The 27,612-nt window shown below is 44.0% G+C and overlaps 1 long non-coding RNA gene across 2 annotated transcripts in view, besides 5 other annotated features; it reads right to left on the minus strand.

Annotated features, from left to right (window-relative positions):
* Window positions 1–8,613, minus strand: part of LOC101928354 (uncharacterized) — a 131,186-nt gene extending 122,573 nt beyond the window's left edge. For both annotated transcript variants that reach the window (XR_241980.4, XR_001743992.2), the window contains exon 1: window positions 8,568–8,613. This is a non-coding gene — a long non-coding RNA (uncharacterized LOC101928354). The remainder of the gene's footprint in view (window positions 1–8,567) is intronic.
* Window positions 8,700–8,759: an enhancer, noted in NCBI's record as "active region_24054". NCBI's record gives its function as "activates an Ori minimal core promoter by ATAC-STARR-seq in GM12878 lymphoblastoid cells {active_cell/tissue: GM12878}" and the evidence as "EXISTENCE:reporter gene assay evidence [ECO:0000049][PMID:35858748]".
* Window positions 21,551–22,750: an enhancer, noted in NCBI's record as "BRD4-independent group 4 enhancer chr6:14730658-14731857 (GRCh37/hg19 assembly coordinates)". NCBI's record gives its function as "activates an origin of replication core promoter dependent on BRD2, P300/CBP, MED14 and CDK7 cofactors, and independent of BRD4, by STARR-seq in HCT116 cells {active_cell/tissue: HCT116}" and the evidence as "EXISTENCE:reporter gene assay evidence [ECO:0000049][PMID:35650434]".
* Window positions 23,973–25,172: an enhancer, noted in NCBI's record as "P300/CBP strongly-dependent group 1 enhancer chr6:14733080-14734279 (GRCh37/hg19 assembly coordinates)". NCBI's record gives its function as "activates an origin of replication core promoter dependent on BRD2, BRD4, P300/CBP, MED14 and CDK7 cofactors, with strong dependence on P300/CBP, by STARR-seq in HCT116 cells {active_cell/tissue: HCT116}" and the evidence as "EXISTENCE:reporter gene assay evidence [ECO:0000049][PMID:35650434]".
* Window positions 24,014–24,133: an enhancer, noted in NCBI's record as "active region_24055". NCBI's record gives its function as "activates an Ori minimal core promoter by ATAC-STARR-seq in GM12878 lymphoblastoid cells {active_cell/tissue: GM12878}" and the evidence as "EXISTENCE:reporter gene assay evidence [ECO:0000049][PMID:35858748]".
* Window positions 27,446–27,525: a silencer, noted in NCBI's record as "silent region_16945". NCBI's record gives its function as "represses an Ori minimal core promoter by ATAC-STARR-seq in GM12878 lymphoblastoid cells {active_cell/tissue: GM12878}" and the evidence as "EXISTENCE:reporter gene assay evidence [ECO:0000049][PMID:35858748]".

Genomic DNA, 27,612 nt, shown 5'->3' on the forward strand with positions numbered 1-27,612 from the left:
TACGTGGCTGAGGCGGGCGGATCATGAGGTCAGGAGTTCGAGACCAGCCTGGCCAACATAGTGAAACCCTGTCTCTACTAAAAATACAAAAAATTAGCCAGGCATGGTGGCACATGCCTGTAGCCCCAGCTACTCGGGAGGCTGAGGCAGGAGAATCACTTGAACCTGGGAGGCAGAGGTTGCATGAGCCGAGATCGCGTCACTGCACTCCAGCCTGGGCAACAGAGCAAGACTCCATCTCAAAAAAAAAAAAAGAGAGAGAATCTCCTTTCACAGGGCACCAAGTTCAGTGACAGTGCAGAAAGCACCCAACTTCACAGGGTTGTCTTATCTGAGAGCAGAAACGCAACACCTTGAAAGAGCCTGTCTGGATCAAGAATTCAGCCCTCATTTTCCTAAGTGGAAAGTCTCATGTGGCCAAGCAAAGGTGACCCGATGAAAGCCAGCGTGTTCAGCCTCCTTTCAAATCGGCAGCCATAATTGCTACTCGCATTTAACATGGCACCAATCACAACCGTGTTCTGGGGCCAAGAACACTGGCCAGCTTACCACCTTCTGAAACTCGGGTGGCTGAGATCCAAGGCCAACAAGACTGAAGAGATGAGTCGCAGCAGTGGAACCCAACAGCTGCCACTGTAATTCAGGGAGCGTCCCCATAATCTGGCAGGGCAGAGTGGAACCTGTCATCCCCAGGAATTAGGGACAATTCAACCTGCAACCCTCAGAAGTTAGGTCTCCAGTAACTGCTACTGTTAAGAAAGTCCTCTCTTGCCTCTTCCTGGTTTGCAAATGTTGCTAGCCCTCTTGGATTAGCGAGCTAGGCCCCGTCTCGGAAGCGAGGTGTGGCACTTCACCCAGCAGACACACCCTCACAGACAGTCCCCATGTAGATGACAAGAAAAAGCTGACAACCAACGGTCCCAGGCTCTTCCATTATGATTGAAGCTCATGGGAGCTCGGCATCACTTAAAATGTTCTGTAAAGTTCTCAGGATGGTATTTAATAAGGCAGCAATTCAGTGTCAGTTCAAAAGCCATTTGGGGTGGAAATGGAGGGTAAAGTTGAGATGTCATAAACTCAGTAGCTTCCAAATTTTATTACAGGCTTTTTCAGGTCTAACAATAGCAATTTGGAGAAGGGAGAGAAAAGACATTACTCAGTCTTCAAAAGTACACCCCAAACTCATGCGAACTGTGAGCTGACACTGCCATCTGCTCTCCCTGACATGTGGTGTGGGAAGCATGATTACCATTTTCCTCTAAGGCCAGCGTCCTCTTTAGGATTCTCCCTCTAGCACCGGGCCTAGGACAGTCTTAATCCTGACAGTCCAGAACTTCAATTTTACTATTCACTCAACAAATACTTTTCAAGCATTTATATGCGCCAGACACTGTTATAAAGTCTGGGATGTAGCAATCACTAAAGTAGGAAAAGTTCTGCCTTGTTGGGGTGTTTATTTGCTAGTTAGGGGGACACAGGAATTAACAAATAATCAAGTATGAATAAACAGACTATCAGATGGTGATAGGTGCTATGGAAAAAGCAAGGCAGATTAAGAAGGACAGAAATCATCCAGGCAGGGGTGGGGGGAGTGGGGGATGTGGATTATGTGGTGCGGTCAGGGAAGGTCTCACTGAAGAGGTAACATCTCAGGAAGACCCAAGCAGGGGAAAGAGAGGCCATGTAGAATTGCAGGGCAGGGTTTTTCAGGCAAAGGGATCAGAAAGGGCCAAGACTGTGAGGCAGGAGAGGGATTGGTGTGTTTACAGAACAGCAAGGGGCCAAAAGGAGCGAGGAATGACGGTGACAGTGGAAGGAGCTAAGACAGGAGAGGTGGCCGGAAGCCAGATCGCTTGCAACCTTGCAAACCATTTTAAGGACTTCACCTTTAACTCAGCACATCAGTCAGGGCCTAACCAGGAGACAGAAGCCACACCAGTTATTTTAACACGGCTAATTTAATATAAAGAATAATTTTCTAGGAATAAAGTCTTAACCAGGTAACTGAAAGAGTAAAAAGACAACTCTAAGGTGTCTTTCGTATAACAACTTCAGGAAGCTCCACCCCTGGGGCTGGCAGAAGAAAAAGGGGGCTGTCGGATAATTAAAATTTAGAAGCTTAGAAAACAGTCCCATGGGGCTAGAACCCAAACCTCAAAGATGGGGCAATGGCAGTCAGTGCTGTGGCCCTAAAAAGGCACAATGAGTCTGGTTCTTGAGTGTAGGAAAAATTGCAACGTAGATTGAACAGCTGCTACAGGAAGAAACTGCTGCTGCCAAGATGAAGCAGCAGTACTGGGGTGCTGCACACAGGAGCCACAGGCAGACAGGATACCCATGGGAAAGAGTAGGAGCCTCTCTAGCAACCCCTACTGGCTGAGTGCAACAAGGAGCCCAACAAAGGAGAAATGCAGTGTTCAGGGGCCCAGCATAGAATCAAGTATTGAAGGAAGGCTTTGGAGCTGAAAGATGATAACTTACTAACTGGAACTCTCTGAATGAGATAAGATTTTGAGCAAGGAAGTGACAAAAGCTGACTCACTCTGACATCTGTGTTGAAAACAGACAGTAGAGGAGCAGCAACAGTGGAGGAGGGAAGGAGTGGATGGATTCTGAATACAGGCATCCCACTGGATTTGCTGATGGTGTCCATGTGAGCTGTGAAAGAGAGGAGTCAAGGGTGACTCCTTCATCGAGGCCTGAGTAACTGAATGGAGACAAATTTACTGAGGGAGCAGGGAGAGCAAGGGGGCAAGAACAAGCTTGTTAGGTCAGCTTAGGTGTGAGGTGCCTGTTAGAAATTCAACTGAGGGGCTGGGCGCCTGTAATCCCAGCACTTTGGGAGGCTGAGGCGGGTGGGTCACCTGAAGTCAGGAGTTTGAGTCCAGCCTGGCCAACATGGTGAAACCCCACCTCTATTAAAAATACAAAAATTATCTGGGTGTGGCAGACACCTGTAGTCCCAGCTACTCAGGAGGCTGAGGTGGAAGAATTGCTTGAGCCCAGGAGGCAGAGGTTGCAGTGAGCCAAGATCGTGCCACTACACTCCAGCCTGGGTGACAGAGTGGGACTCCATCTCAAAAAAAAGAAAGAAAGAAATTGGACTGACAATGACAGCAGGCAGTTGCATCCCCAAGCCTGGGGAGGGTTTAAGTTAGAGATATAAATTTGAGGCTCACCCATCATATAGATGGATTTTAAAGCCACATGATTGAATGAGATCATGCGTGTCATCTCAACGTCACTTAGAATATGACATGGCTAAGAATCAGCTCTGGAATCAGAATGATGTCAATTTGAATTCAAACTCTATCGTCACTGGATTTTCTCAGATGTTCTAAGCCCTGATTCCCTCATGTGTAACCTAGAGATGATACTAATCATGCTGACTACACTGATCTTATGTACGGATTAGATTCAGTAACGTAAGGAAAGCCCTTACACCAGTGCCTGATATCAACTCTTATAAATAAGAGTTATTATCATTATCATAGTTTTATGATATTATTAGTAGTCAAAGATAGCCAGAGCCTAGAAAATTAGGCTTCTAAGACCCAAAAGCAAAGAGACCTGAATTGTACTAAAAAGACAACTTATTAATTGTAGGAGAAGATACAGTGGCATCTTATGTGAAATAGGTATATAAACCATGACTCTGAATTACTGTGGCTTTCCTTTTACAGATACATTTATTCGGAGTACTAAAAATTTTTTTTTTTTTTTTTTTTTTTTTTTTTTTTGTAGAGACAGGGTCTCATGTATTGACCAGGCTGGTCTCCAACTCCTGGCCTCAGTGTCCCAAAGTGCTGGGATTCAGGTGTGAGCCCCCATTCCCTACCTCAAATGGTTTCTAATCAGGCCAATTCTCCTGACCTGTAACAGAGCCTGCCCTAGCTCTCAGAATTCTGCTGCAGAATGGGCTAGCAGTCAAGTTTGTTCTTCTCCATGAGAAGGTTTAGCACCTGGAGAGTTGAGAGGTAAGTTTGATGTACATGAGGACTGTTCCTCTGGTTTGTGAATAACCAGCCAGGGAGTAAAAAAAAGATGCCAGACAACCCTCACAAAGGAAAGAAGGAAGGGAAAGACAGATCCACAAAACGATTCTAAAGGAACATTATTAGCAAATCCTTTAAAATACCAAAACTGAGTGTGCAGGGCAAGACCAAGATAGAAACAGAATGCTTGCCTGGGGACAAACTATGGAGACATCAGCATGTGCCTGTCGTGAGTGAGCTGCTGATGAGTCAGGAATGAGCACAGCCCCAGGGTGACTCCGAGACCCTGTGCACCCGTCACCACTCACTCCTAGTTGGCCTGGGAACAGAGCCCCATCCTCCATTAATTGTTCACCTCTCATTAAGCATTTTTGCATCAGGCAGCCATTCCTTTCCAAGAGCTCAATTGCAGGGTTATGTAAGGTTCTCCTGTATTCCTGGCCGGAGAACTGAGACCAGCTGCCTGTCCAGGGCGCTCCCTTCCTAGGCGGTAGGTCACTCCAGGAAACCAAACGGCAGATTACAAAGCCTAGAAAACACAGCAGGGGAGTAGAAGAGGCTGGATGTCCTCCCAGGCTGCTCTCAACTGTAGAGAGCAGAAAATTCTCTGCTTCCTGAACCCCGAGTATGAAATCAAATCTCCCCATCCCCAGGTTGGTGTGAAGGACCTTTCAGCCAAGTCTCTCCACGACCACCTTGGATGATATCAAAGCTCTTCCCATTGTTCTTCTGCTTCCAGAGCCTTCTCCCACACAAGTTCCCAACCCTTTCACCATGTGAAAAACTCCACCATCCAAAGATTCTATTCCAAACAGCTGTTCCTGGATGCGAGGAGGGATCCATCTAGAACAGTGATTCTCAACCCTGGCTGCGCTTTGCAGCCTCCAGGGGAGACTTTAAAAGTGCTGATGTCCAGTCTCCACCCCAGGCTCTCTGGGAATGCGGCTCAGGCACCAGTATTGTTTTTAAGTTCTTCAAGTGTTTTGACTGTGCAGCTGCATTTTAAAACTAATTGTTTTCGACTATAAATTCCCTTCAGTATACTAAAGCCATTGCCGACCCTCAGGGTTGTTTTTCTAAGAACGCATGATACGACTGTCATCGTGATAGTTGCTATAAGTTCCTTCTTCTCTCCCTCTGTTAAAAGATACACCTTAGACAAATAAAATTTAACCGAGTTTAATTGAGCAAATAATGATTCGTGGATCAGGCAGCCCTTGAACCAGAATAGGTTGAGAGGGGCTCCAGCATAGCCACATGGTGGAAGACTCATGGACAGTAAAAGGAGAGTGATGGACAGGAAACAGAAGTGAGGTACAGAAACAGCTGGATTGGTCACAATCTGGTGTTTGCCTTACTTGAACAGGGCTTGAACAGTTGGCCCCCTGTGATTGGCCAAAATTTGGTGATTGGCACAATAATAGATTACAGTCTGTTTACATGTCCAGGTGGGTGACCATTTACTGTGTACAGAGAAACCTTTAGGCTGAACTTAAAATATGTAGGGAGATAGCTTTAGGGCTAAACTTAATTTAACTCCCTCCCTTCCTCCCTCCCTTCCTTCCTTCTTTCCTTCCTTCCTTCCTTCCTCCCCTCCTTCCTTCCTTCCTTCCTCTCTTCCTTTTCTTCCTCCCTTCCTTCTTTTCTTCCCTGACAACAGTGAAGAGGACAGATCACATCACTAGGCCTGAGCTCAGCATAATGGAAGCCAGGCCCCACCTAACATACTTCCATTAAAATCTAAACCACTACATGGCCCCTGAAAAAAAAGTCTCTAAAAGAGCAGAGGAGCTAGGAAAGGGCCCAAAGCTGATGAAAGACTCCAAGTGAGGGGGAAAAGATACCCTGCTGCAAAGGTGGATAGGAAAAGACAAGAGAATGCCTCCCCTCTTTGGAGAATTTTTCTGTCAAAATGCCTTTTTTAGAATATTTATTTATTTATTTTAGTGTCTCTCATTCAGCTCTTTGGCTGGCCCATTGTCCAAGGCAACATCTTCCTATTATTCTATTATCTGTCAGATGGCTACTGCAATTGTAGAAGACAACGCATGAGAAGGATCGGGCTTCACTTTTCTGCAAATGGTTGGTTCAAAATAAGCCACCAGAGGTGACCTGGTCATTGTACCCCTCCTAAAAAATGATACCAAGATGAACTTGAGAGCTTGCCAGCCTCTTTCCCTTCCCTGTGCCTCTGTTTCCCTACCTATAACACAGACATGGCAAATTTGGACATCCGAACACCACTGGGTGAAGATGAATGGTTCAAGTTTTAATCATCCTCGTTTGCAACATCTGAACATTTATCCACATATGTTTCCCCAGCACTCACTTGCCATCCCCTCCCCCTCTTTTTTTATTCATTTCTGAAAGCTTCTATTATCAATCACTGCATGAGGTAAATTTTCAAATCAGCAGTCAGGGTTTTTAAGCTGCATGACTCCTATTATAGCCAAAAGGAGGCAGGTGACCAACACTGATGCAGTCTCGAAAAATCCCCTCTGCAGCCTCCTTCCTTAGTGTTCGTTCATTCATTTTCAGGGCATGCATTGAGGCTGGGTTTAACAAAGCCTTCACCGAGGATCAGTCTACCTTTCACAGAGGGCCCAAGGGAACAGGGAAGTGGAGACACTGATCTGGAAAAGAGAGAAAGGCAGGAGAGTGGGTTTGGAGAGCATTTCTTAGGCATTTTGTCACACCTTCCAGCCAGCTCCATTAGGGAGAACTGGGGTGTGTCAAAATTGGGTGCCTGGTTCTCTCTCCATCATTCCTGCTTCTCTTTTCCCTTTCATAGCAGTGTCCCTAAGGGATGCCTTGCACCCACTGGCAAAGCCATCCCTATACGAAAGTCCCCAACTCCACACTTCAGCAGCTCTGGAGCCCTCGGGCTCTGCCTGACTGTCCACTGTGGTGGCACGAGCTTACTCTCCTCCACTCCGGTCTCCCGAGTTCTCATTTCATCCACATGTGTGTCTGACCCTGCTCTACACCTGGACACTGTGTTGTCTATGACCCCTATAGGTAAACAGGATCTCCCTGTCTGTTGGACACGTGGGTGATCTTGACACAAACACCCAATTCTAGGCCTCTGAACGTCCAAATTCTTTCTTGTAATTTCAGCCAACTGAAGGGCCTTACCCTCCCCTGATGCCCTCTGCTTCTGGATTCCACACCTTCACATACTGCTTCTGGGCTGTGTCCTATTGGCTCCCTACTGTATTCAACGTCACTGTCACAAAATAACTAACAAGTGCTACAGAGAAGGGAACAAGAGGAAAGACTGACATCATGCAGAAATCAAGAATCTATGGGCTGGGCACCATGGCTCATGCCTGTAGTCTCAGCTGAGGTGGGAGGATCACTTGAGCCCAGGAGTTTGAGGCCTGTCTGGGCAACATAGTGAGATCAGGTCCTAAAAAATAATTAAAAATTAGTGAGCATGGTGGTGCTCATCTGTAGTCCCAGCTACCCAGGAGGTTGAGGCAGGAAGATTGCTTGAGTTTGGGAGTTTGAGGCTGCAGTGAGCTGTGATCATACCACTGAACTCCAGCCTAGATGACAGACTGAGACTCCATCTCAAAAAAAAAAAAAAAAAAAAAGAAAAGAAAGAAAAGAAGAAAGAAAAAGAAAGAAAAGAAGAAAGAAAAAAAAGAAAGGCAGGCAAGAAGGAAAGGAATAAAATCCACAATGCACATTCCCCAAGCCCTCCCAGTTATCCATGATCAGGAGGCTGTCTCTTTGCCTGCCTTCTCCAACCCTGCACCCAGCCTCTTTGCCTCTGCAGGACTTCCCCAGAAAGTTGAATCTTCTTCCCTTTATAGAGCGGAGCAGTTCAGCTCAGACTTGTAGGCACACCTGTGCAGCACAGACCAACGTCTCTCCTTGACCACGGCCCACAGCCTTTCTCTGAGGAAAGGGCTCGCCGCAGGCAATTCCCTATTCAAAGGTCACCATCGGCTAACAGGGGTCTTGCCTCCCTCAACTCATCCAATGTTGAGGTACAGCAACTGAATCAACCAAGAGCGGGCCAGTGGCCTCTGACAAGTCGGGACAAGAAAACTCTGCCTCGGAGGGAAACTCTAAACTGTGCAGCAACCATTCAAGTCCAATCAGATCCTCTCTCAGAAGCTGGATTGTGGGAGAGCCTGTCACAGTCTGCAGCAGCTGAAGCAGCCAGGACAGCAGCAAGTAGGCAGAAGGACTTCAAAAGAAGAGACAGAGAGCAGAAGCCATAAGGCCTAGAAAGCACAAGGAAGCAAAAGTCATGAGGTTGGGAACAAGAAACAGGCAAGGCAGCAACAGCAAGTGGCAGTCACGGCAAGGAAGAGACCACACAAGGGGATTTGGAATGAATGAAGCCACCGTTTTCGTACGAGGCCTTAGTTACTGAGCTGCAGACTCGGGGTTCTGTGCAACCTTACCTCCCTGTGCATGCATGCAGTGCACCCCCATTGTCTCTGGTCTAGAGACCTTCTCTGCCCCTCACAACCTCAAGCAGTGGGCTCCGGGCCCCTACTCTGTGCAAACTCTGCTGGCCTATTTCACAGGACTCACCATGTCCCCCAAACTCCTTACCCTTTGGGTAGAGATCCGTCTTACTCAGGTTCACATCCTCATGTTCACAGCTCCTCCCACACAGTCAACACTTAGAGCTTGACTTCCTTCCAGCCCAGCCCTCTACATGGTGCCTATGACTTTAACCTAATTGCCTGTATTTCCTCCCTGTATGAGAATAGATACCCAAATACAAGATTTCCAACCTATTCCCTCCAGATGACAAACAAGCTACAAGAGACAGTGTAGACTAGAAGAACAACTGCCTGGACCCGTGGGAAGAAGGTGGAACAAGACCTTGCAGTAAAAACAAAAGCTGTCAGTTGATCTAATGGCGGTAGAGAGTAGAAGGGTGGTTACCAGAGGCTGGAAAGGGTAGTGGGGAGTGGGGATGAAGAGAGACTGATTAATGAGTACAAACATACAGGTAGATAGAAGGAATAAGTTCTAGTGTTTGATGGCACAGTAGGGTGACTGTAGTAAATAATTGAGTGTATATTGCAAAATAGCTAGAAGATTTGCAATGTTCCCAACACAAAAACATGATCAATGTTTGAGGTGAGGAATATCCCAATTACCTTGATTTGATCATTACACATTGTGTGCAACTATCAAATATCAAATGTACTTCATCAACATGTACAATTAGTGTGTATCAATATAAAATATTTTTTAAAGCTGTGATTCCTGCTCCTACACCCCTGGGCAGCCATCCCACCTTTGCAGCAATGAGGTAGAGAGCTGGGGGGAACTATCAGGTTCTCCTGTGTTCAGATAAAATGTAGCATGGTTGTGATTGAAAGGCCTCAAGTTTTCTAGTTCCATTTTGTTCTATTCCCCACAAAAAACAACTACAGGCTGGGCGCAGTGGCTCACGCCTGTAATCCCAGCACTTTGGGAGGCCGAGCTGGGCAGATCACGAGGTCAGGAAATCGAGACCATCCTGGCTAACACAGTGAAAACCTGTCTCTACTAAAAATACAAAAAATTAGCTGGGCATGGTGGTGGGCGCCTGTAGTCCCAGCTACTTGGGAGGCCAAGGCAGGAGAATGGCGTGAACCCAGGAGGCGGAGCTTGCAGTGAGCCGAGATCGCGCCAATGCACTCCAGCCTGAGTGACAAAGTGAGACTGTCTCAAAAAAAAAAAAAAAAAAAAACAACTACAGAGGAGCTGTAGCTCTAAAACTCAGCAGGGCTGGGCATAGTGGCTCACGCCTGTAATCCCAGCACTTTGAGAGGTCCAGGCATGCAGATCACTTCACGCCAGGAGTTTGAGACCAACCTGGCCAACATGGTGAAACCCTGTCTCTACTAAAAATACAAAAATTAGTGAGGCATGGTGGTGTGCGCCTGTAGTCCCAGCTACTCAGGAAGCTGAGACACGAGAATCACTTGAACCAGGAGGCAGAGGCTGCAGTGAGCCAAGATCATGCCACTGTACTCCAGCCTGGGCGACAGAACAAGACTGTCTCAAACAAAAAATTTAAAAATGATATATATATATAACACAGATGGAGAGAAAATAAATCAATGAAACTATGGAGCAAAGAAGAGAAAAATCTCAGCAAGCAGTCAGACTGACCCTTTCTGCTCAGTGTGGCTGAAACCAAAGCAATGAGGCTGGCACTTTGCCTCCTGTCAGAAAGGCTACGTGTGTTTAAAGGACAGCAGCATTCAGAGATTTTCTCTGCAGGAGGTCTTGCTCTCTTCTCCTGCTGAAAATGTCTGACTCGATTCATAACCAATATCTAAATATAGTCATGTTGGTTATTTCATGCACTATTTACATGCATAATCGTAATCTCAATTGAGTCTCAACTTCAGAAACACAGTTTATTACAGTGGGATTAGAGTACACAAACTCCTATATTCTGCATTCCACAGCCATCTTCCTTCTCTACTTACCATTAACTAGAGTGCTTCCACAGCTTATTCTCCAGTGGAAACCAGTAAGAGCCTCCGAAGGAAGGCCAAGTAGTGGAGGCGTGACCTCCCAGAGCCGACCACTGTCTCTCCGCTGACCCAGCAAACAGCCTACATGATAGTCACAAATAATATGGCCCCATGGGCATACGCGTGGGCCAAGTGTATACCCGCCCCTTCCTTCCTCTCCCACTCAAGAAAGCAGATCAGAATGCAAGAATCTAAAAACAGCATTGTTATGGAAGCACACTCTAAAATATATTGTAATTTATCAACAAAGTAAATTATTCAAAACTGTGATACTCTGTTATTAGCTAGCAAATTCCTTTTCATACCCAGAGTGGAACACAATGGTTGAACACTGCTTTCTTAGACACAACTTTGAATGCCAACCACTTGAATTGTTGATGTCTGACAAGTGACAAAAATGATAAATGCTAGTGTAAATCAACTCATAGAAGATCCAAGCACTTTAGAGAAAAACAAAATATCTCTCTCTTTCTCAGAACATGCTTACCAGAACCCCACACTCTTCAGTAACAATAACAAGTGTATGATCACCCAACAAAGGCTCTATCACTCTCTAAGCAAAATAAACAGGATAAAACGTGACAATTTTATCATTATGGATTATTTTAATTTTTATTATTTGTGTTTTACAAACTTTCTGATTCCCTATGAACATCCTTTACCTTTTTAAGGGATAATGTTTAAAATGTTATGTAAAAAATGGAATATATTTTCAACACAAGGAATGGAAAGTCATGAAATTTAATGAGATTCTAGAAGACATTGGCTTGCTTCAAAGATTTATGCAAGAACATATCTGTAGCAATGAGGAAAGAAGGCATTTTAAAAAGACCTCCAAAGAGAAAAAAATTGCTATCACTTTTTTACTGGAAGATGTGACAGATATTGTAACAAAATTCCCACGGTCCCAAAAAACCATTAAAAGATACCTCTTTCTGAATGCCTATAATCTGAAACAAGACTAATTGGATCTGTACAAGTCATCCATCAGCTAAGTTCCTCTAAGTGAAAGACACTTGTCTTTAGAAAAAGCATGTCCCCAAATTGGAAATATGAATTGATCAAAGGTACATAGGCACAACACCAAAATCTATTTGGTCACTGAAAAAAAAAGGGTTTCTCCAGTTCTGGGCTTGGGATATTTCTTTCCAATCATTTGGGAAGCAGTTGAATCAAGTCCGGGGGTTAAAATACTGAAAGTCCAGAGGGCAGCATTTCCATACAACTCACACATTTCTCCTGCTGAAGTGAGCTTTGAAGTTGAGTGGCAGCCAAGATAGAGGGGTAGAAAAAAAAGAGAAAGAGTTACATAGGGGCTGGTAGTCACTCAAAGGAAGAACAACAAGAATTAAGAGAAAGAAAAAGAAAAGGGAGGTGAAAATGGATTAAAACAAAGCCAGGGAGGTCCAGCCTTCTCCCTCATTGCCAAGGTTGGGAAGATGATGGAAGTTTGTCCTGCAAACTCATCAGGACTGGGGGCAGTAATTTACCAAGGTCAAAGGGCAAGGGCAGGCCCCCTCAGTGACCCAGCCTTTGCAATGAAAACATTCCAAAGAAACTTAAGCAGACAGAATGTGTAGATATTTGTGCACCACAGCTGGGGGAAGCCTCCACAACCTTTCCCAGTCTTAGTCCTGTCAAATGACAAATGTCTCTTTTATGTAAGGATCAAACAGTGTTGGAGGCAGTAACATAAGCAAAATCTTCAGTGACATTGATTTTGCATGTTAGCAGAGTTGCTTCTAAAGAGGAACTCCCACGACTGCCAGAGAGTTTCTTAACCTGAAAACTGCAATTGTGCAACTCACTTAACAGCCAAATATAGGCCAACAGGAACAAATTCATCCAACCTTTCTGACAGCGTCACGTTGACACTTCAATTACCTGATAACTGCAGCAATGTTTTCCTAGCTGAGCAGGAAAACTTCAAAAAAAAAGCTTAACCTTTTTCCTCTTTAGCTTCCGCTAACCATCCACATCTGCTTTCCTGGCTAAGTCTCCATAGCAGCTATTATCAACACATGAATGGAATTCAAAAAAAAAAAAGAGACCCAGAACTGAATTCAAATTCTGGCTCTACTATTTTCCAAGGGCGTGTCCTAGGGCAAGTCACCTAAACTCTATGATCTTCCGTTTTAAGTTGCTATGAAAAAGTAAATAATATAAGAAATGTTTGGAAGACAAAGATGCTCCAATGATTGTTGTCATGCCAATGGTAACAAAAGTAAATAAGGATTGGGCTTACTCTATGACAACACGAAAAGTATATTTCTTCTCACCTAAGTAAAACATTTGCTACCTCCTGAACACGATTATAAGTCGCCAACCTCTCTTTAGTTTTATGTAAAAATATTCTGCTCCAGGCTGGGTGCAGTGGCTCACACCTGCAATCTCAGCACTTTAAGAGTCCGAGGCAAGAGGAGCGCTTGAGTTCAGGAGTTTGAGACCAGTCTGAACAACATAGGGAGACCTCATCTCTATAAATAATTTTCCAATATTTGTCAGGTGTGGTGGTGCACGCGTGTGGTACCAGCTACTTAGGAGGCTGAGGCAAGAGGATCACCTGAGCCCAGGAGGTTGAGGCTGCAGTGAGCCATGATTGCCCCACTGCACCCCAGCCTGGGTGGCACAGCAAGACCCTGTCTCAAAAAAAAAAAATTCTACTCCAATTGTATTGAAAGATTCTCAAGGGAAAATTAATGTTTAATCTGATGTCATCATTCTCTCAATATAAACAAAAACCAATAGTCAGATTTTGTATATTCAAGGAATAATTACAAGTGATTAATATAAAGATAATGTCAATGATGAAAAAAATATGCTATGGTCAGCATTGTTTTGGTTTTGGTTTTTCCTAGTCTAAGATGGCAGTAGAGCATATAGCAAATATCTCTGGGCACCACTCTCTTTTATACAGATTTCCATTAAAGCAATGGGAGTCCCTTTACTGCATTGGTTTGTTTGTTCTTCCTAGAACAGAAGCTCCCGTGAGTGAAATTAACTTCTGAGCCAACTTCGTATACCTAGTATCACATGGTAGGCCAGGCTGGATAGGCAGATGGTCAGTCCACCTGCATTGGTAGGCAAAGTAAGACACAATCTTAAAAAGAACACTATTTTATAAGTTTATATTATGCTTGTATCTGTTAAGATTAGGCTCAGCTGCAACCATCAAAACTCTAGCAAAATGGTTTAATCAAAATAGAGAGGTATTTCTCTCTCACGTGGAAATCTAGAGCTAGTCTGTCCACAGCTCCACAGTGCCAGGGATGCATGTGCCTTGCATCTTACTGTTCTATTGTGTGTGGCTTTTATTATCAAGTTAACATCTTGGAATCCAGGCCTTACAATCACAATCCAGGTAGCAGGAAGGTAGGAGAACAGTGCACATGGGTATAGGGTAGCAAAATGGGTGGACTCTATCACAGTGTATAGCTGGGCTCTGTGTGTGTCCCCAGTCCTTGTGGGGCCCAGCAGGCATCGCAGCGTGGCAGCCATGTCCAAGCCACGGCCTGGGCATCCTGTCACCTGCCCAGGTACACGGTCACTCACACTGGGGGCTTTCTGTCGTGTGTGTGTGTCTTCCTGTTGACTGTGCACTTCGTTCGCAGTGCAGAATGTTTCCTGTTCTCAGTGCGTGAAGACACTGGTTTTCAATCAGTGTCTAAAACCACGTTCCTGCCTTTCACTGCAGTACAGTGTGTTCATTTTTTAAAAATAGAGTTTAATGAGTAAGTTTAGATCTGACTGGTGAATATCTTAAAACTTTATATTAATAAAAAGTTCTTCCTGGAAAAAAAAATCCATTTTTCCCCTTTTCAATAACAGAACTTCAATTTTTATTTCAGCTTATTGCCATCCACAACATATATTTCCCAGCCTACCTGGCAGGTAAATGTGGCCATATGACTAGGTTCTGGACAATACAACATAAGCAGAAGTATTGTGTGGAATTTCTAGGAAGTTCCTCTGTAAAAACACACACACACACACACACACACATGAGCCAGGTGCAGTGGCTCATATCCGTAATCCTAGCAACTTTGGGAGGCCAAGGCAGGAGATCAAGGCCAGGATTTCAAGACCAGCCCAGGAAACCAAGCAAGACCCTCTCTCTACAAAGAATTTAAAAATTAGCCAGGCATAGTACTGTGCAACTGTAGCCTCAGCTACTCGAGAAGCTGAGGCAGGAGGATCACTTAAGCCCAGGAGTTAGAGGCTGTAGTGAGCTGTGATTGTGCCACTGCACTCCAGTCTGGGTGAGAGAGCAAGAAAGAACAAAAGAATGAAAGAAAGAAGGAAGGAAGGAAGGGGGGAAGGAAGGAAGGAAGGAGAGAGAAAGAGAGAAAGAAGGAAAGAAGGAAAGAAAGAAATGAAGGAAGGAAAGAAGGAAGGAAGGAATGATGGCTGGAGCTCTAGCAGCCATCTTGAATCATGAAGACAATAAAGACAAAAGCTATAACCTAAGAATGACAGATTAATGAACTAGAAGGAAACTGAGTATCTGAAAACCTCATGGAGGAACCATACCAGCCATAGACTGCAACTCTGAATTTCTTTTATGTAAAAGACACATTTACTTTCATATTTTTATGCCACTTATATAAGATATTTCTGTCTCCTATAAAGAAGAATCTAATTCTAATCAATACAGTGCTGAAGTAAACTTCCCCACCCCCCGTTCCTCTCTACTGGTTACAAGCAGCAGTCTCTTCCACCAACACTGGCCATTACTGAATCTTCTATCTTACCCTTTCTCACAGGGAGTATCAAATAAAGGACACATAGCCCATAACTTTTATTTTTGCAAACTATGAAAATTTTATAACAAAGGGAAATAAAACATGAACCATCAACAATTCTCTATACAGCTATTGTGAGATAAAAAAAATTTAAAGAATTCACCTTCCAGACAGGCATTTCTGTCACTACCTAACATCTGTGGCCATGTTCTCATTATGTACTTCATAAGGAAGAAAACATATCTTCAGGTAAATGGTTCTTAATTAACTTATGTACTTGAAAAAATAAACTCAGCAGGAAAAAAAATATATCTATTGCTCTATATTAAAGAGGCAGATTAAAAATTTGCCCTAAAACAGAATTTGCAACTCAGCAGGGTAAGAAGATGATTCCATTTTACTTCTTATAAATAGAAGTTTAAGGCACACACGTTGTCAAAACAACTTTATAAATAAGCTGGTGCCAACACACTCATGAATACTAAAAATGTTTTCCAGGTTCTCAGTTGTCTTCTCTATGATTCTATTGAGGTTATACCTATTCCAATAAACTCAATTCTCATTGCAATTCTTAGTGAGTCCAGTGTGCCTCCTCGTATAAGATAAAGGGTTTCATAAACTGACACCATGGACACATGAAGATTAGTCAGCTTTATGAAGCCAGTGACTTGGTAGCTCCTTTAAGTATTTCTGTAAGGCACTTTGGCCTCCAATGTTCACTCCAGATTCTATGGTGGAGGAGAAAGGCTTGTGGACCTACAGTTTACTTCAATGACTTGGATTCTTGTCCCAACTCCATTTTCTAACATGTGGTGTAAATTTGAACAAGTGTCTTAATCTCCCCTGCCTCTCCTTTCTATTAAATAAGAATAATACCAATTTCAGCCAAGCTTGGTGGCTTACACCTGTAGTCCCAGCACTTCAGAGGCCAAGGCAGGTAGATCATCTGAGGTTGGGAGTTTGAGACCAGCCTGGCCAACATGACAAAACTCAGTCTCTACTAAAAATACAAAAATTAGCCAGACATGGTGGCGCATGCCTGTAATCCCAGCTACTCAGGAGGCTGAGGCAGGAGAATCGCTTGAACCCGGAAGGCAGAGGTTGAAGTGAGCCAAGAGCCAAGATCACACCACTGCACTCCAGCCTGGGCAACAGTGCCAGACTCCCTCTCAAAAAAAAAAAAAAAAAGACTACTACTAATTTCAATTTTGATAAGGTTCAATTATATGTGAAAGTAGTTTATAATGGTAAAGAGTTGCATACGGGTAGTATCTGTATATTTTTATAATTGGTGGTGTTTGGGTTGTAAGTAATTAGAACTAAACTGTGCTGCCTCAAAAGCACAGTGAATATATACAGAGCGTTTTGGAAGAAAATAAAACAACTGTTAAATAATGGTTACCATTTGGGGTAGGACATTTTTTTTCCTTGACAGACTTTAGGTGGCAGCCATACGTATCTTTTAAATTTAAGAAAACAATATGTAATTTCATGGAGCTTTTTTTTCCTATAATGAAATGGGAGAAGGCCAAAGGGAAGGAACTGGGAAGAAGCAGATATTCTTTTAGCAATAATAATGTGTCCTTCTTCAGTTCTAAAGGTCCTCACCCTGGTGATCCTCATAGTTCTTCCTTCCAGTGGATATTAATGTGAGCTTATCCCTAGCAATAAAGCATCAAGATTTAGAAAACAGAAATACTTAAAATTGTTTGAAGAAGCCCCTGAATGTTCAATACTGAGTGCTTCTGGCATCAGCAGCCAGCACTAAACCCAAACGACTGCACCCGTGAGCCCAAGAACGACCTTCGTATTCAAGTGGCATCCCTCTCCTCGACATCCCTATCAGGCAAAAGGTGTGTGCCTTCCTCAGTTGGTTTACTGGCTACCATTTCCCTCACTCTCTCTCTTCTTCTTTTTTTTTAGGTAATCTATTTAAAAGCTCATAATCTGTTCTATAAATATCTCAACACTTACGCCTAAAGGCCCCCCAAAAATCTGGAGGTGATACACTGAACAGGCAGAAGGCCTCTGAATACCTGGTTATTAAGGACTCCTTTAACCTCAGTCTCCCACAAATTAGGGGGAAAAGCATTTATCTTTGTGCAAAATGAACTATTCCCACAGACTGGGCACAGTGGCTCACGTCTGTAAATCTAGCACTTTGGGAGGCTGAAGGTGGGAGCATCACTTGAGCTCAAGAGTTTGAGACCAAGAGCAGCTTGGGCAACATAATGAGACCCCATCTCTACAAAATAAAAATAATTTTTTTAAATAGCTAGGTGTGGTGATGTGGGCCTGTCGTCTCAGTTGCTCAGGAGACTGAGGTGGAAACATCTCTTGAGCCCAGGAGTTCAAGGCTGCAGTGAGCTATGTTGCACCACTGCATGCCAGCCTAAGTGACAGAGCAAGACCCTGTCTCAAAAATAAAAATAAGTAAATAAATAAATTCCTCCCCCTCTATTCAGTGAACTCTCAAGTTTCCACCATGGATTGTGGTGTCACACTCCATCCTGCCCCATTTGCTCTAGATTCCCAACAACGGGCACATACAGAGTACAGACCACCATCCTCACTATTGCCACCACCTCAATCCACGTGTCAGGCTCCCTCTAATGCCATCCAGGAGGCTGGTCAGGAGGAAATGGTCCAGGTGAAAAGGATTCCAGAATAGTGAGCTGCTACAGCAAATGATATAGTAATTCCTCCAAAACTAAAGATACAATTACCATATGATCCAGCAATCCCACTTTTAGGTATACACCCAAAAGAATGGAAAGGTGCATAAGGGTAATTTGTACACCCATGTTCAAAGCAGCATTATTTGCAGGAGCCAAAAGGTGGCAGTGACCCAAGAGTCCCTGGATGGATGAATGAGTAAACTAAATGTGGTACACATGTACAGTGGAATATTATTCAGCCTTAAAAAGGAAGGGAATTCTGACACATGCCATGACATGGATGAACCTTGAGGACATTACGCTCAGTGAAATAAAACGGTCTCAAAAAGACAAATATGGCATGATTCTACTTCTGTGAGGTACCTACAGTAGTCAAATTCAGAAAGACAGAAAGTAGAATGGTAGTTACCGGGTATGGGGGTGGAGGGAAATAGGGAGTTGCTGTTTAATGGGTATTGAGTTTCCGTTTTTCAAGATGAAAGAGCTCTGGGGATGGATGGTGGTGATCATTGCGCAACAATCTGTACTTAACACTGCTGAGCTGCACACTTAAAAATGATTACAATGATTAATTTTATGTTATGTATATTTTACCACAATTTTTTTAAAAAGGATGCCAGAATCTTGCATGTCCTTCTCTGGAGCCAAGAGCATTGCACAGCCAGCCCGCCCGGGTTCTCTAAAGTTCAACTTCAGCAGGCCAGCCCAGGGCATACTCAAAATCTTCCCATGGGCAAATCTCTTCCAGCCAATGGGAACCTTTCAAAATCTACATTTCCATAGCCACATAATTAAGAACTAAATCTCACTCCCAATCACGTTGTAGAATTGTTTTAGATATAACAAGGTGTCCACCTAGGTAGAACTTTAAGAAGTTTCCAGTGGCGGTAATGTTCTGTTTCTTAATCTAGGTGATGGTTACGTGAGCATATTCACTTAGTAATAATTCATAGAGCTGTACACTTAGGATTTGTACACTTTTTAGTTAGACTTCATTTTCAGACCTGTTTTGCTATTTCTTGCATTATTCATGGCGTCTCACAAGATGACAAATTCTCAAAGTCCTCACAGAGCCTAGCAGGGTGCTAGGCTTCTAGCAGGAGCATGAGTTATGTCTATTGACACCATTAAAATTTGGAGATCTGGGGAGTATCAGAGAGAGAAAGACAGTGCACAGGGCACTGGGATAGTTTTGCAATGTCCTTCTACATCAGGGAACCAAAAGCATTCTGACCCCAAAGCTGCAGGTCAATAACGCAACCAACTTCATCAGCACAGGCCAGTAGAAAGAGGAAACTCAGCTGTGCTGCTGATAACCCATGTCTTAGGAAAATAACCCTTCTGATTTTAAAAAGATAGTTACGTGCATACACACACCCCAAAAGCTCGACTCTAGCCTCAACATGAGAGGAATTAATGTGATGGGATAAAAGTTAGTGCCTATTTTAAGAGGCAGTGACAACTAAAATAGATTGCAGATGGCAAGCTCTTCTGAACCCTGTAATAAGTCTATGATGGCCCATTCTCCAGGAAGCCAAAGTTGGAGCCAGAACTCCATGGTGTTGGAAATGCTGACAGCAATCATTTACTCCAAGAAACACAAGGGCTGGCCCTGAAGCGGAAGTGCTGGAGAAAAGCACCCCCGAAGGGTTGTGATGGACCCCCTCAAAAAAGGCCACAGTGGGAGGGATCAGTTTGATCTCCAATTGGAGTAGTCCTTTGAACTCTGACGCTAAGCTTTAGTGCAATGTGGTGCATTGGGGGTTGTTTCCATTTCAGCTGTTTCTCCATATGCCAGAGAGGAGAGTCGTGCCTGGCAGGCCTGGGCCAGCAATATCTAGAACACAGGCCTGGCTCCAGGAGAAGCCAGAAGCCTCCCCTCCTCCATCATGGTCCCTCTGTATGTGGGCAGAGAAGGAGGAGGGGGATCAAGGATCCAGGAGGAGGATTTGGTGCCAGGGAGATGACTAAGGTCTGACGCAATCACCACACGCATGTGGGACTCGTGAGATAAACAGATCTGGAGGGGGAACCAGTGCTCCAGGCTTGACCTTGGGGTGCCTCCCAGCCCCCATCTCGGTCCCTAGGCCCATTTAAGATGGAAGGTGAACCAAGATGCCCTGAGTTCTCATTTTTCTCTCTCTTGCTGGTTTTCTCTTGTTTGACAAATCGAACCGAACCCCAAAGGAAAAAAATGGGAAGGAGGGAGGAGGACTCCTTCCCATGCAGATTTATGGCATTCTGGATGCAGCTTGCATTTGTCAGGCCAAAATGGTTAGGGTGGGCTAATAGAGTAGAATTACAGCTTCCTATAATAGGGAAAGTTAAATAGACAAGCTTTCCTACCCTGAAGAGAACGAGGCAGAGGTCAGTGCTACTGGCTTTGAACATGAATGGCCCCTTCCCCTCGGTTCCCTTTCACATGTGGCCTGGCAACAGTAGCAGACAGATGCGACACAAAGCCAGACACACCTGATTAACCATGAATACAACAGCTGTCGTTTCCCCACCACCACAGATACCCACACCCTCGTTCTTTCCGCTTAGTTTTTTCCCTTTCTTTCAGCTAAGCGTGAGGAAATCAAACCTACCATTAAAACTCAAGTTAGTGGGAGGGTGTCAGCAGCCGGGCCTTTGTTTCTCTGCTCACAGACATGTAATAGGTACCTTCAGGGTTGTCCTTTCATCTGAAAATGCGTTGTGGTCTCCCGCTGAGGGCTCAGTCAGCTCAAAACCTGAGCCCCCAGAAAGGCCAGCAGAGGGTGGGGGAAGATGAAGGTGGCCTGAATGGGGACGGAGAAAGTGGACTTTTCTGGGGCACCTGAGTTTGTCTCTCTTCTCCTCTCTCCTCCTTTCCATCCGCTTGCCTCCATCCAACTACCACTCCCTGCTGCTAAAAACATCCACCCTTAAGATGGACTGGCTGTTCTGAATTTATCAAGAGGAAGTGGAACTCAACGTAGCATTGTCTTTCTGCAGCTTGCTTATTTCACTCTATTCTGAGCTGGTCTTAACAAAGAAGAATCAGGTCAGGTGGCTTTAGGGGTTTTTCTATTTGCCTCTCTTAGGTAGACAAATCCTTGAGTTCAAGTTAACTTCCAAGACCTTGCAAATCAAACACAGGAGGGAATCTAAGTGTTGAACTGCAAATGATTTCTAACGACATGAACAAAATGTAATGTGACTATATGAGCTTCCGGAAACCTACAGAATGGTAATTACAGCCCAGAGTATGAATCTTGATTTTTCTTCAGGTGTTCTTTTTCGTATTGTTTTGTTTTGCTGGGCAATCTCAAATTAACCATTTGACCTCTGTAAGCCTACATTTCTACTGCTTAAAATGGTTCTCTCTTTTGTCAAAAAGTCCCTGAAGCTATTACAAAGAGACTAATAAAAACGATCAGAAATCTCTTTGCAAACACTAAAACTTATAATAATAGGATGGATAACTGGGTAACTTAATCTCATAAAAAGTCAACAATATCCCTTATTTTCTCACATAAATGAAAACATAAAGGAATAATTCAGGCTCTCATTTGAAGTCTCATGGTTTCTAATGAAGGCCCAGGTCCACTGTATACTTCTGCCTTCTACTAAGAACTCATGGAGATTTCCCACTCAAGATAATCAGGAAGAGGAAGTATAATGGAAATGTCTAGGAAATTTGGTGTCAGGTAACAGAGAAGTCCCCAGCATCACATTTGTGTAGGACATTGGAATTTGTTCTAGAACACAAAAGTATCCTCCGGTGGTTGGTAACTTTAGACTCATCTTCTAGCCAATTAGAGAACAGTCATATCCACTATCAAATCAACCCAGAGGTCCCATCTCAGAATAATGTGAAAAGGCCCTGTTCACTTTGCCGTCGAAACCATCTCACAACTCTTCTCCTAGTATCCAAATTTCTCTTTCTCTTGCTTCACAGAACTCACGGTTTAAGCAGAGCAAGCCTGTCTGTTTTCAATTCTTAACTTTTCACACATGGCAAACGAGTGGAACTTCTGAGCACTGCGATCATCTGGCTGATGAACAAGCTGTTTTCCATTTCTGGCAACAAATACTTCTGGCTTATCGTGACGGGATGAAAAGGGATGAAAATATACTCTGGTTGGATATTGTTGATAACATTTGTCATCTTTGCAGCTAAAAAAAGCTGGCTTAAAATTTTTTCCTTTGGTGTTGCAGAAAAATGGCAAAAGAAGCGACATCACCGTTGAGTTGCCAATTAAATTGCATTCCTAAATGAAGTAGGTTAGTGAGATCTTTTCCATAAGAAACGCAATGTCACATCCTGAGATAAAGTAAGGACTGGACCAGGAGGCAAGGTCTGTGGGGCCTGGGCCTGGGGCTCCACTGGTGCACGTGGTGTCTTTTAAAGGCTCGCTTTACATGTCTGAACCTGTCTCCCTCTGTATTCCCTTGCTAGGGCCGCCATAATAAACACCACAAACTGGGTGGCTTATACAACAGAAATGGATTTCCTCACTCTTCTGGAGGCTAGAAGTTTGAGAGGTGTCAGCAGAATTGGTTTATTCTGAAGCCTCTCTCCTTGTTGTAGAGAGTCATTTTCTCCCTGTGCCCTCACACAGTCTTCCCTCTGTGTTTGTCTGTGTCCTCATCTTCTCTTCTTACGAGGACACCAGTCAGATTGGATTAGGGCCCACCTTAATCATCATCTTGGAGTCTAAAAAACCAGTGAAGAAAAAGAGGAGTCATGGTTACCAATGTTTCAGGCTAAAGTTGCTTTAGTTCCAGTCTCTCATTTTACAAATGAAGAGACGGAGGCCTCAAGACTCGCCCAAGGTCGTCAGTGATAAGCTGAGACTACAGAGGATGTCACCATGGAAAACAGGTAGACAGTTTCCAGCTCTGATCTGTGCAGCCTTTGTGCAATATGTTGAGGTAAGAGGGTAGAAGACAATAAGGTCTTGTATCATTTTTTAAAATTGGAAAAAGGTCAAGTTTCTGAAAGTGAAGACCTTTGAAAAATATACTTTAGAAGGCACAGAGCAGGAAATGTGTGGTGTGAAGCTCTGGGCTCACCACAATGTATGATGGGCTGTATTCCTTTGCTAGGGCTGCCTTTACAAAGTAACATAGATTGGGGGGCTTAAAACAACAACCGTTTATGTTCTCACACTTTTGGAGGCTTGAGTTCTGACATCAAGGTGTCAGGCACTTGCTCCCTCAGAAATCTGTAGAAGAGAACCCTTTCTTTGTTTCTTCTAGCTTCTGGTGTCTGCTGGCAACGTTTGGACTACAAATGCATTATTCTGTGAAAGGAAAATAAATCTCAGGACCCCAAAATCACTAAGCCAAAGGGAAAAGTCAAGCTGGAAACTTCTTAGAGCAAAACTGCCTCCCATTCTATTCTTTAAAAGATAGCTACTAAGATAAAAGAGCTACGTACCTCCCTTACAATTTGTCCACAAGGAATTTCCTTGCCTCCTTTGGGAAGGCTAATCAGAAACTCAAAAGAATGCAACCGTTTGTCTCTTATCTACCTATGACCTGAAAGCCCCCTCCCTGCTTTGAGTTGTCCAGCCCTTCCAGACCAAACCAATGTACATCTTACATATATTGATTGATGTCTCATGTCTCCCTAAAATGTACAAAACCAGGCTGTACTCCGACCACACTGGGCACATGTTGTCAGGATCTCCTGAGGCTGTGTCACAGGCAAGTCCTTCACTTTGGCAAAATAAACCCTAAATTGACTGAGACCTGTCTCAGATGTTTGGGGTTCACAATTCCAATCTCTGCCTCTGTTATCATATGGCATTCTTTCTGTATGTCTCTGTCTCAGTGTCTAAAGTTCCCTTTTAAGGACACCAGTTATATTGGATTAAGGGCCCATCCTACCCCGATATGACCTTGTCTTAACTGATTACATCTGTAATGACCTTATTTCCAAATGAGGTCACATTTCAAGGTACTGGGGGTGGGGACTTCAACATATCTTTCTAGGGGACACAGTTCAACCCATAACACATGCATCCTGCAGAGCTTCCTGCTCTCCCTGGAGCCTACGGTCATGAGCTGCTGACCCTCCCTCACTTCCCAGACATTGCCAGCACACGACTCATGACCAAACAGTGCTCCTCCAAGACAGAACCCTGGTGACTCGCAGTGCTGCAGACAGGCAGTACGGAGGGGTGATTAAGAAGACATTGTCATTTAAAATAAAACCACACAGTTCTTTTGTAAATATGTGTCACTGGGTATTTAGAACCATCATACCCAACCCACTGCTGCACGTTGGTGGAAATGTCAAGTAAGTTACACACTCACGTCTTTTCTGGGGAGCCTTTTATTCACGGTTCTCCCTGAGTTTGATTTCCTGAGGGAGTGTGCTCACCCGCCTCCGTTTCAGCATCTAACCTTGCCTGTTTCTAAAGTTCATGCTGTCCTGACATTCTTTGCATCAGCACAGTCACCCCTGTTAGTCATCTCCTACCAATTTTCTCTCTTTGTACTCTTTCAGGAAGTCATGTTTTTGCTCAGGTAAAAGAGGTGTAGGAAGAGCGTTCTGCCTATTTGATGATTCATCTCTTTGCTTTTTGCCATTTCTAAATGTTAGGGGGGAAAATCCTTTTGTTACGGGCTTTAGCGAATGGGCTTGGTCAATGGGGTGAGAGAAGCTGCCATAAGCCACTTTCAACTTAGAGCAGAAGCAATCTTTTATCGGTCTTTCTTATTCTTTTGAAGACTAGCATCGTGATTCTCAGGGCCACTGGAATCCACGAGACTGACTTCCCTGAGGAGAGACTGCCTTCTAATGGCGTGACCATCTGCTCCACTTCCTTCGTGTTTGGTCAGTGAATCACGGCAAGTCACAGGCCACCTGAGCATTCTACTCACTTCTTTTGGATGCATCCAGGCCAAAGGCTCAGAGTGTGTTTGAGTTGAGATAGATCTGAGCATATTCAGTTAAATGAGGCCCTCAAAGAGTATGATGGGGAATTATGCCCCACTGCCTCCCAAACTTCAAATGTTGAAGCCCTAACCCTTAGAGCCTCAGACAGTAACTCTATTCGGAGATAGGGTCTGTAAAGAGGTAATTAAGAAAAGGAGCAAAAATGGAGCAAGTTTCCTTCTCCCTTGCGCTATTTCTAAGGTCATGTTATAAAAATCAAATGGAGAATACCTGTCAAACAGTTGATCAAGCAGTGAGGAGAAAGAGAAATAATATTAATTCAAAGGGCATGCTTCAACCCATAGTCAGAACAATCTATTAGTTAATCAAGCAAGATTTATTGATACTCACCAAGAGACTGAATATACAAATGGACAACGGCCAAGCCATAATTAAAAACAACTCCAACCTACAATCTACAGCAGCCAGCCCAGGACACCAACCCATTAGCAACAGCAATCGGCCCAGGAAGCCAGCCTGCTATCATCAGCCAGACCTCTAGAAGTCTAACCACTATCTCTATCAACAAGTTAGGAAGCCAAACAATAACCCCTGTAAGAATCAGCTCCAAATGGCCAGAACTTGACTGACAATGGACAGCCTCCCTGATTTTTGTCCCTGCTTCCAACTTAGGACAAACCAGAGAAAGGCAAATATGCACCCTAAGCAATCACATAGGCATCTGTGCTTCTAGTGAACCACCTCCAGCTTCCCACACCAACAGCCTCCAATCAGCACATACCTGGAGCCTCCCTTTTTTCTACTATGAAGTTTTCCCACTCCTCTGCCCGCATTTGAGTCTCTGCCAAAACACAAACGATAGTAGCTCTGAATAAACAGCCTGTGCTTATTCTTATTTGGTTGGTCTTCATTTATTTCCACACTTCCAAATGCAAGTAAATGTTATGCTAGGCCCTTGAATGGTCAGGGAAAATACAAGGAGATATACGACATGGTCCTTATGCCTAATAAACTTAAAATCTTTGGGACTGGAGATAAAATGCACAAAAAGCAAGAACCACCACCACAATGACTAAGCAAATAATAAAGCCAGTCAGGAATAGTAAGTCTCAAATGCAAGTTCCAGATACTGGACGTAGAAGTCTGGAGAAGAGAGATTACTTTTGGCTGGGGAGGTCAGATATGAACTGAACTTCAGCACACACAAAGGAATTATTCTAGTAATTATTGGGTTCCCCCTTGCTCACATGGTTACTCACACTTGAAAGTTTGCGGTAACAAGAAGGAGCCTTGGCAGGAAGTTTGTTTGTTCCATGACTGCTTTTACTGTCACATGAAGAGTGAGTGGTTGATTTACTGAGAAGTCCCCCTTGTTACCCTTCATAAGCCCCAAGTGAGTCAGGACCTTCCCTTGGTCATCAAACTGGAGACAGGACACCCTTGCCCAGTTAGCATTTTAGTTCAGCTTGCCTGGGTTCTCATTCCAAATTCCTGCCCCCAAATCCTTGGTCACCCCCAAGAGTAGATCTTTATCCACAACAGGCCACTGTTGAACCTAAGGTTTCCCAGAGGAAACCAGAAAAGACTTCCCTTATGTTGGGGTTTTAGGGTACCCAATAAATAGGACCCCTCTTTCCTGCCCAACTTCTGAGCCAATTAAGAGGAATAGGAATCAGGCAGATAGAGGGAAAATATCACCATTCTTTTAAGTTGACAAAGTCTTGGTTGGTGGCTATCATTTCAGGTCCTTGGGCTTGTTAATATTGTACCACTGATGGCAAACAGAAACTTTGCAACATGGAGATTTACCACTTAAAAGTTAAGGCTTGGAGGGGCAGAGGATGTTTACTTTCCTCAGGCTCTTCCCAGAGAGAAAGGAATAGGTGAGGCGTACATCTTCCATTGCTTCTCCCAGGCCGACTGAAGTTCCTCTTCCTCCAATGAAGTGAAGGAGAGAGAGGATGCAGGCGGCCAGGGGATTTACTCAATGGAAACATGTCCCCAATAGAAACAAGGACAGCAGGGAACAAATGTTCCCATCAGCTACCTACAACAGGTAAGGCTAAGTCTCTGTGGGGTTGAGGTCCCTTGCCCCCAGCGCACATACACACACACACACACACACACACACACACACACACACACAGCCACCAATGCCATGCTCATGCTTTGTATAGTTTTGGGATTTGTGACAACTTTTAAGTCTGAGGGGAATGAATGTACTCATGAAGAAAATCTCCACCGTTAAGGAAATGCCCTTGGTGTGGACTAGTGCTAGAGGCACAGACCTTGAGTAGGGAGTCCTGAATTCCTATCCCAGTGCTGAGTTAAGCAGCTCTATAGTTATTCAAGGTCTCTTGCCCTCCATGTGCTCTGTCCTCAGTTATGCACTGGAGATCAGAATACCTGTCCTGCCAAGTGTGTGAAAGACAAGATAAAACCAGAAAGGGCCTCTGAATAACCCAGCTCCACTTCACAGAAGCACTGGGGTGGTTCCATATTCAGAGAAAATAGTAATGTTTTTCTTGAAAAATAGAGTAGATGTGAAGCAACTTTCTGTCACTTCTCAGTACTTTTTTAGCACCAGAGAGTTTATCCAAGGTGGACCCCATCAAAGTGAAACAGAAGGGAGGGGTGGGGAGGTCCCCCTAACCCATAAGCTTAAGGGTTGGGTGTTACTGACTCCATTTGGAGAACACGCAGCCAGGGGCTTAATGACACATTTTGATTGATTACACTGGTAACTCTGAAACCTGGTACAGATTACCTTTTGCCCTCAGTGGGGCTTTACCTGAATCATTCCTCTAGAGCAAGAAA

The sequence above is a fragment of the Homo sapiens genome, chromosome 6, assembly GCF_000001405.40.
Source record: "Homo sapiens chromosome 6, GRCh38.p14 Primary Assembly".
Lineage (NCBI taxonomy): Eukaryota > Metazoa > Chordata > Mammalia > Primates > Hominidae > Homo > Homo sapiens.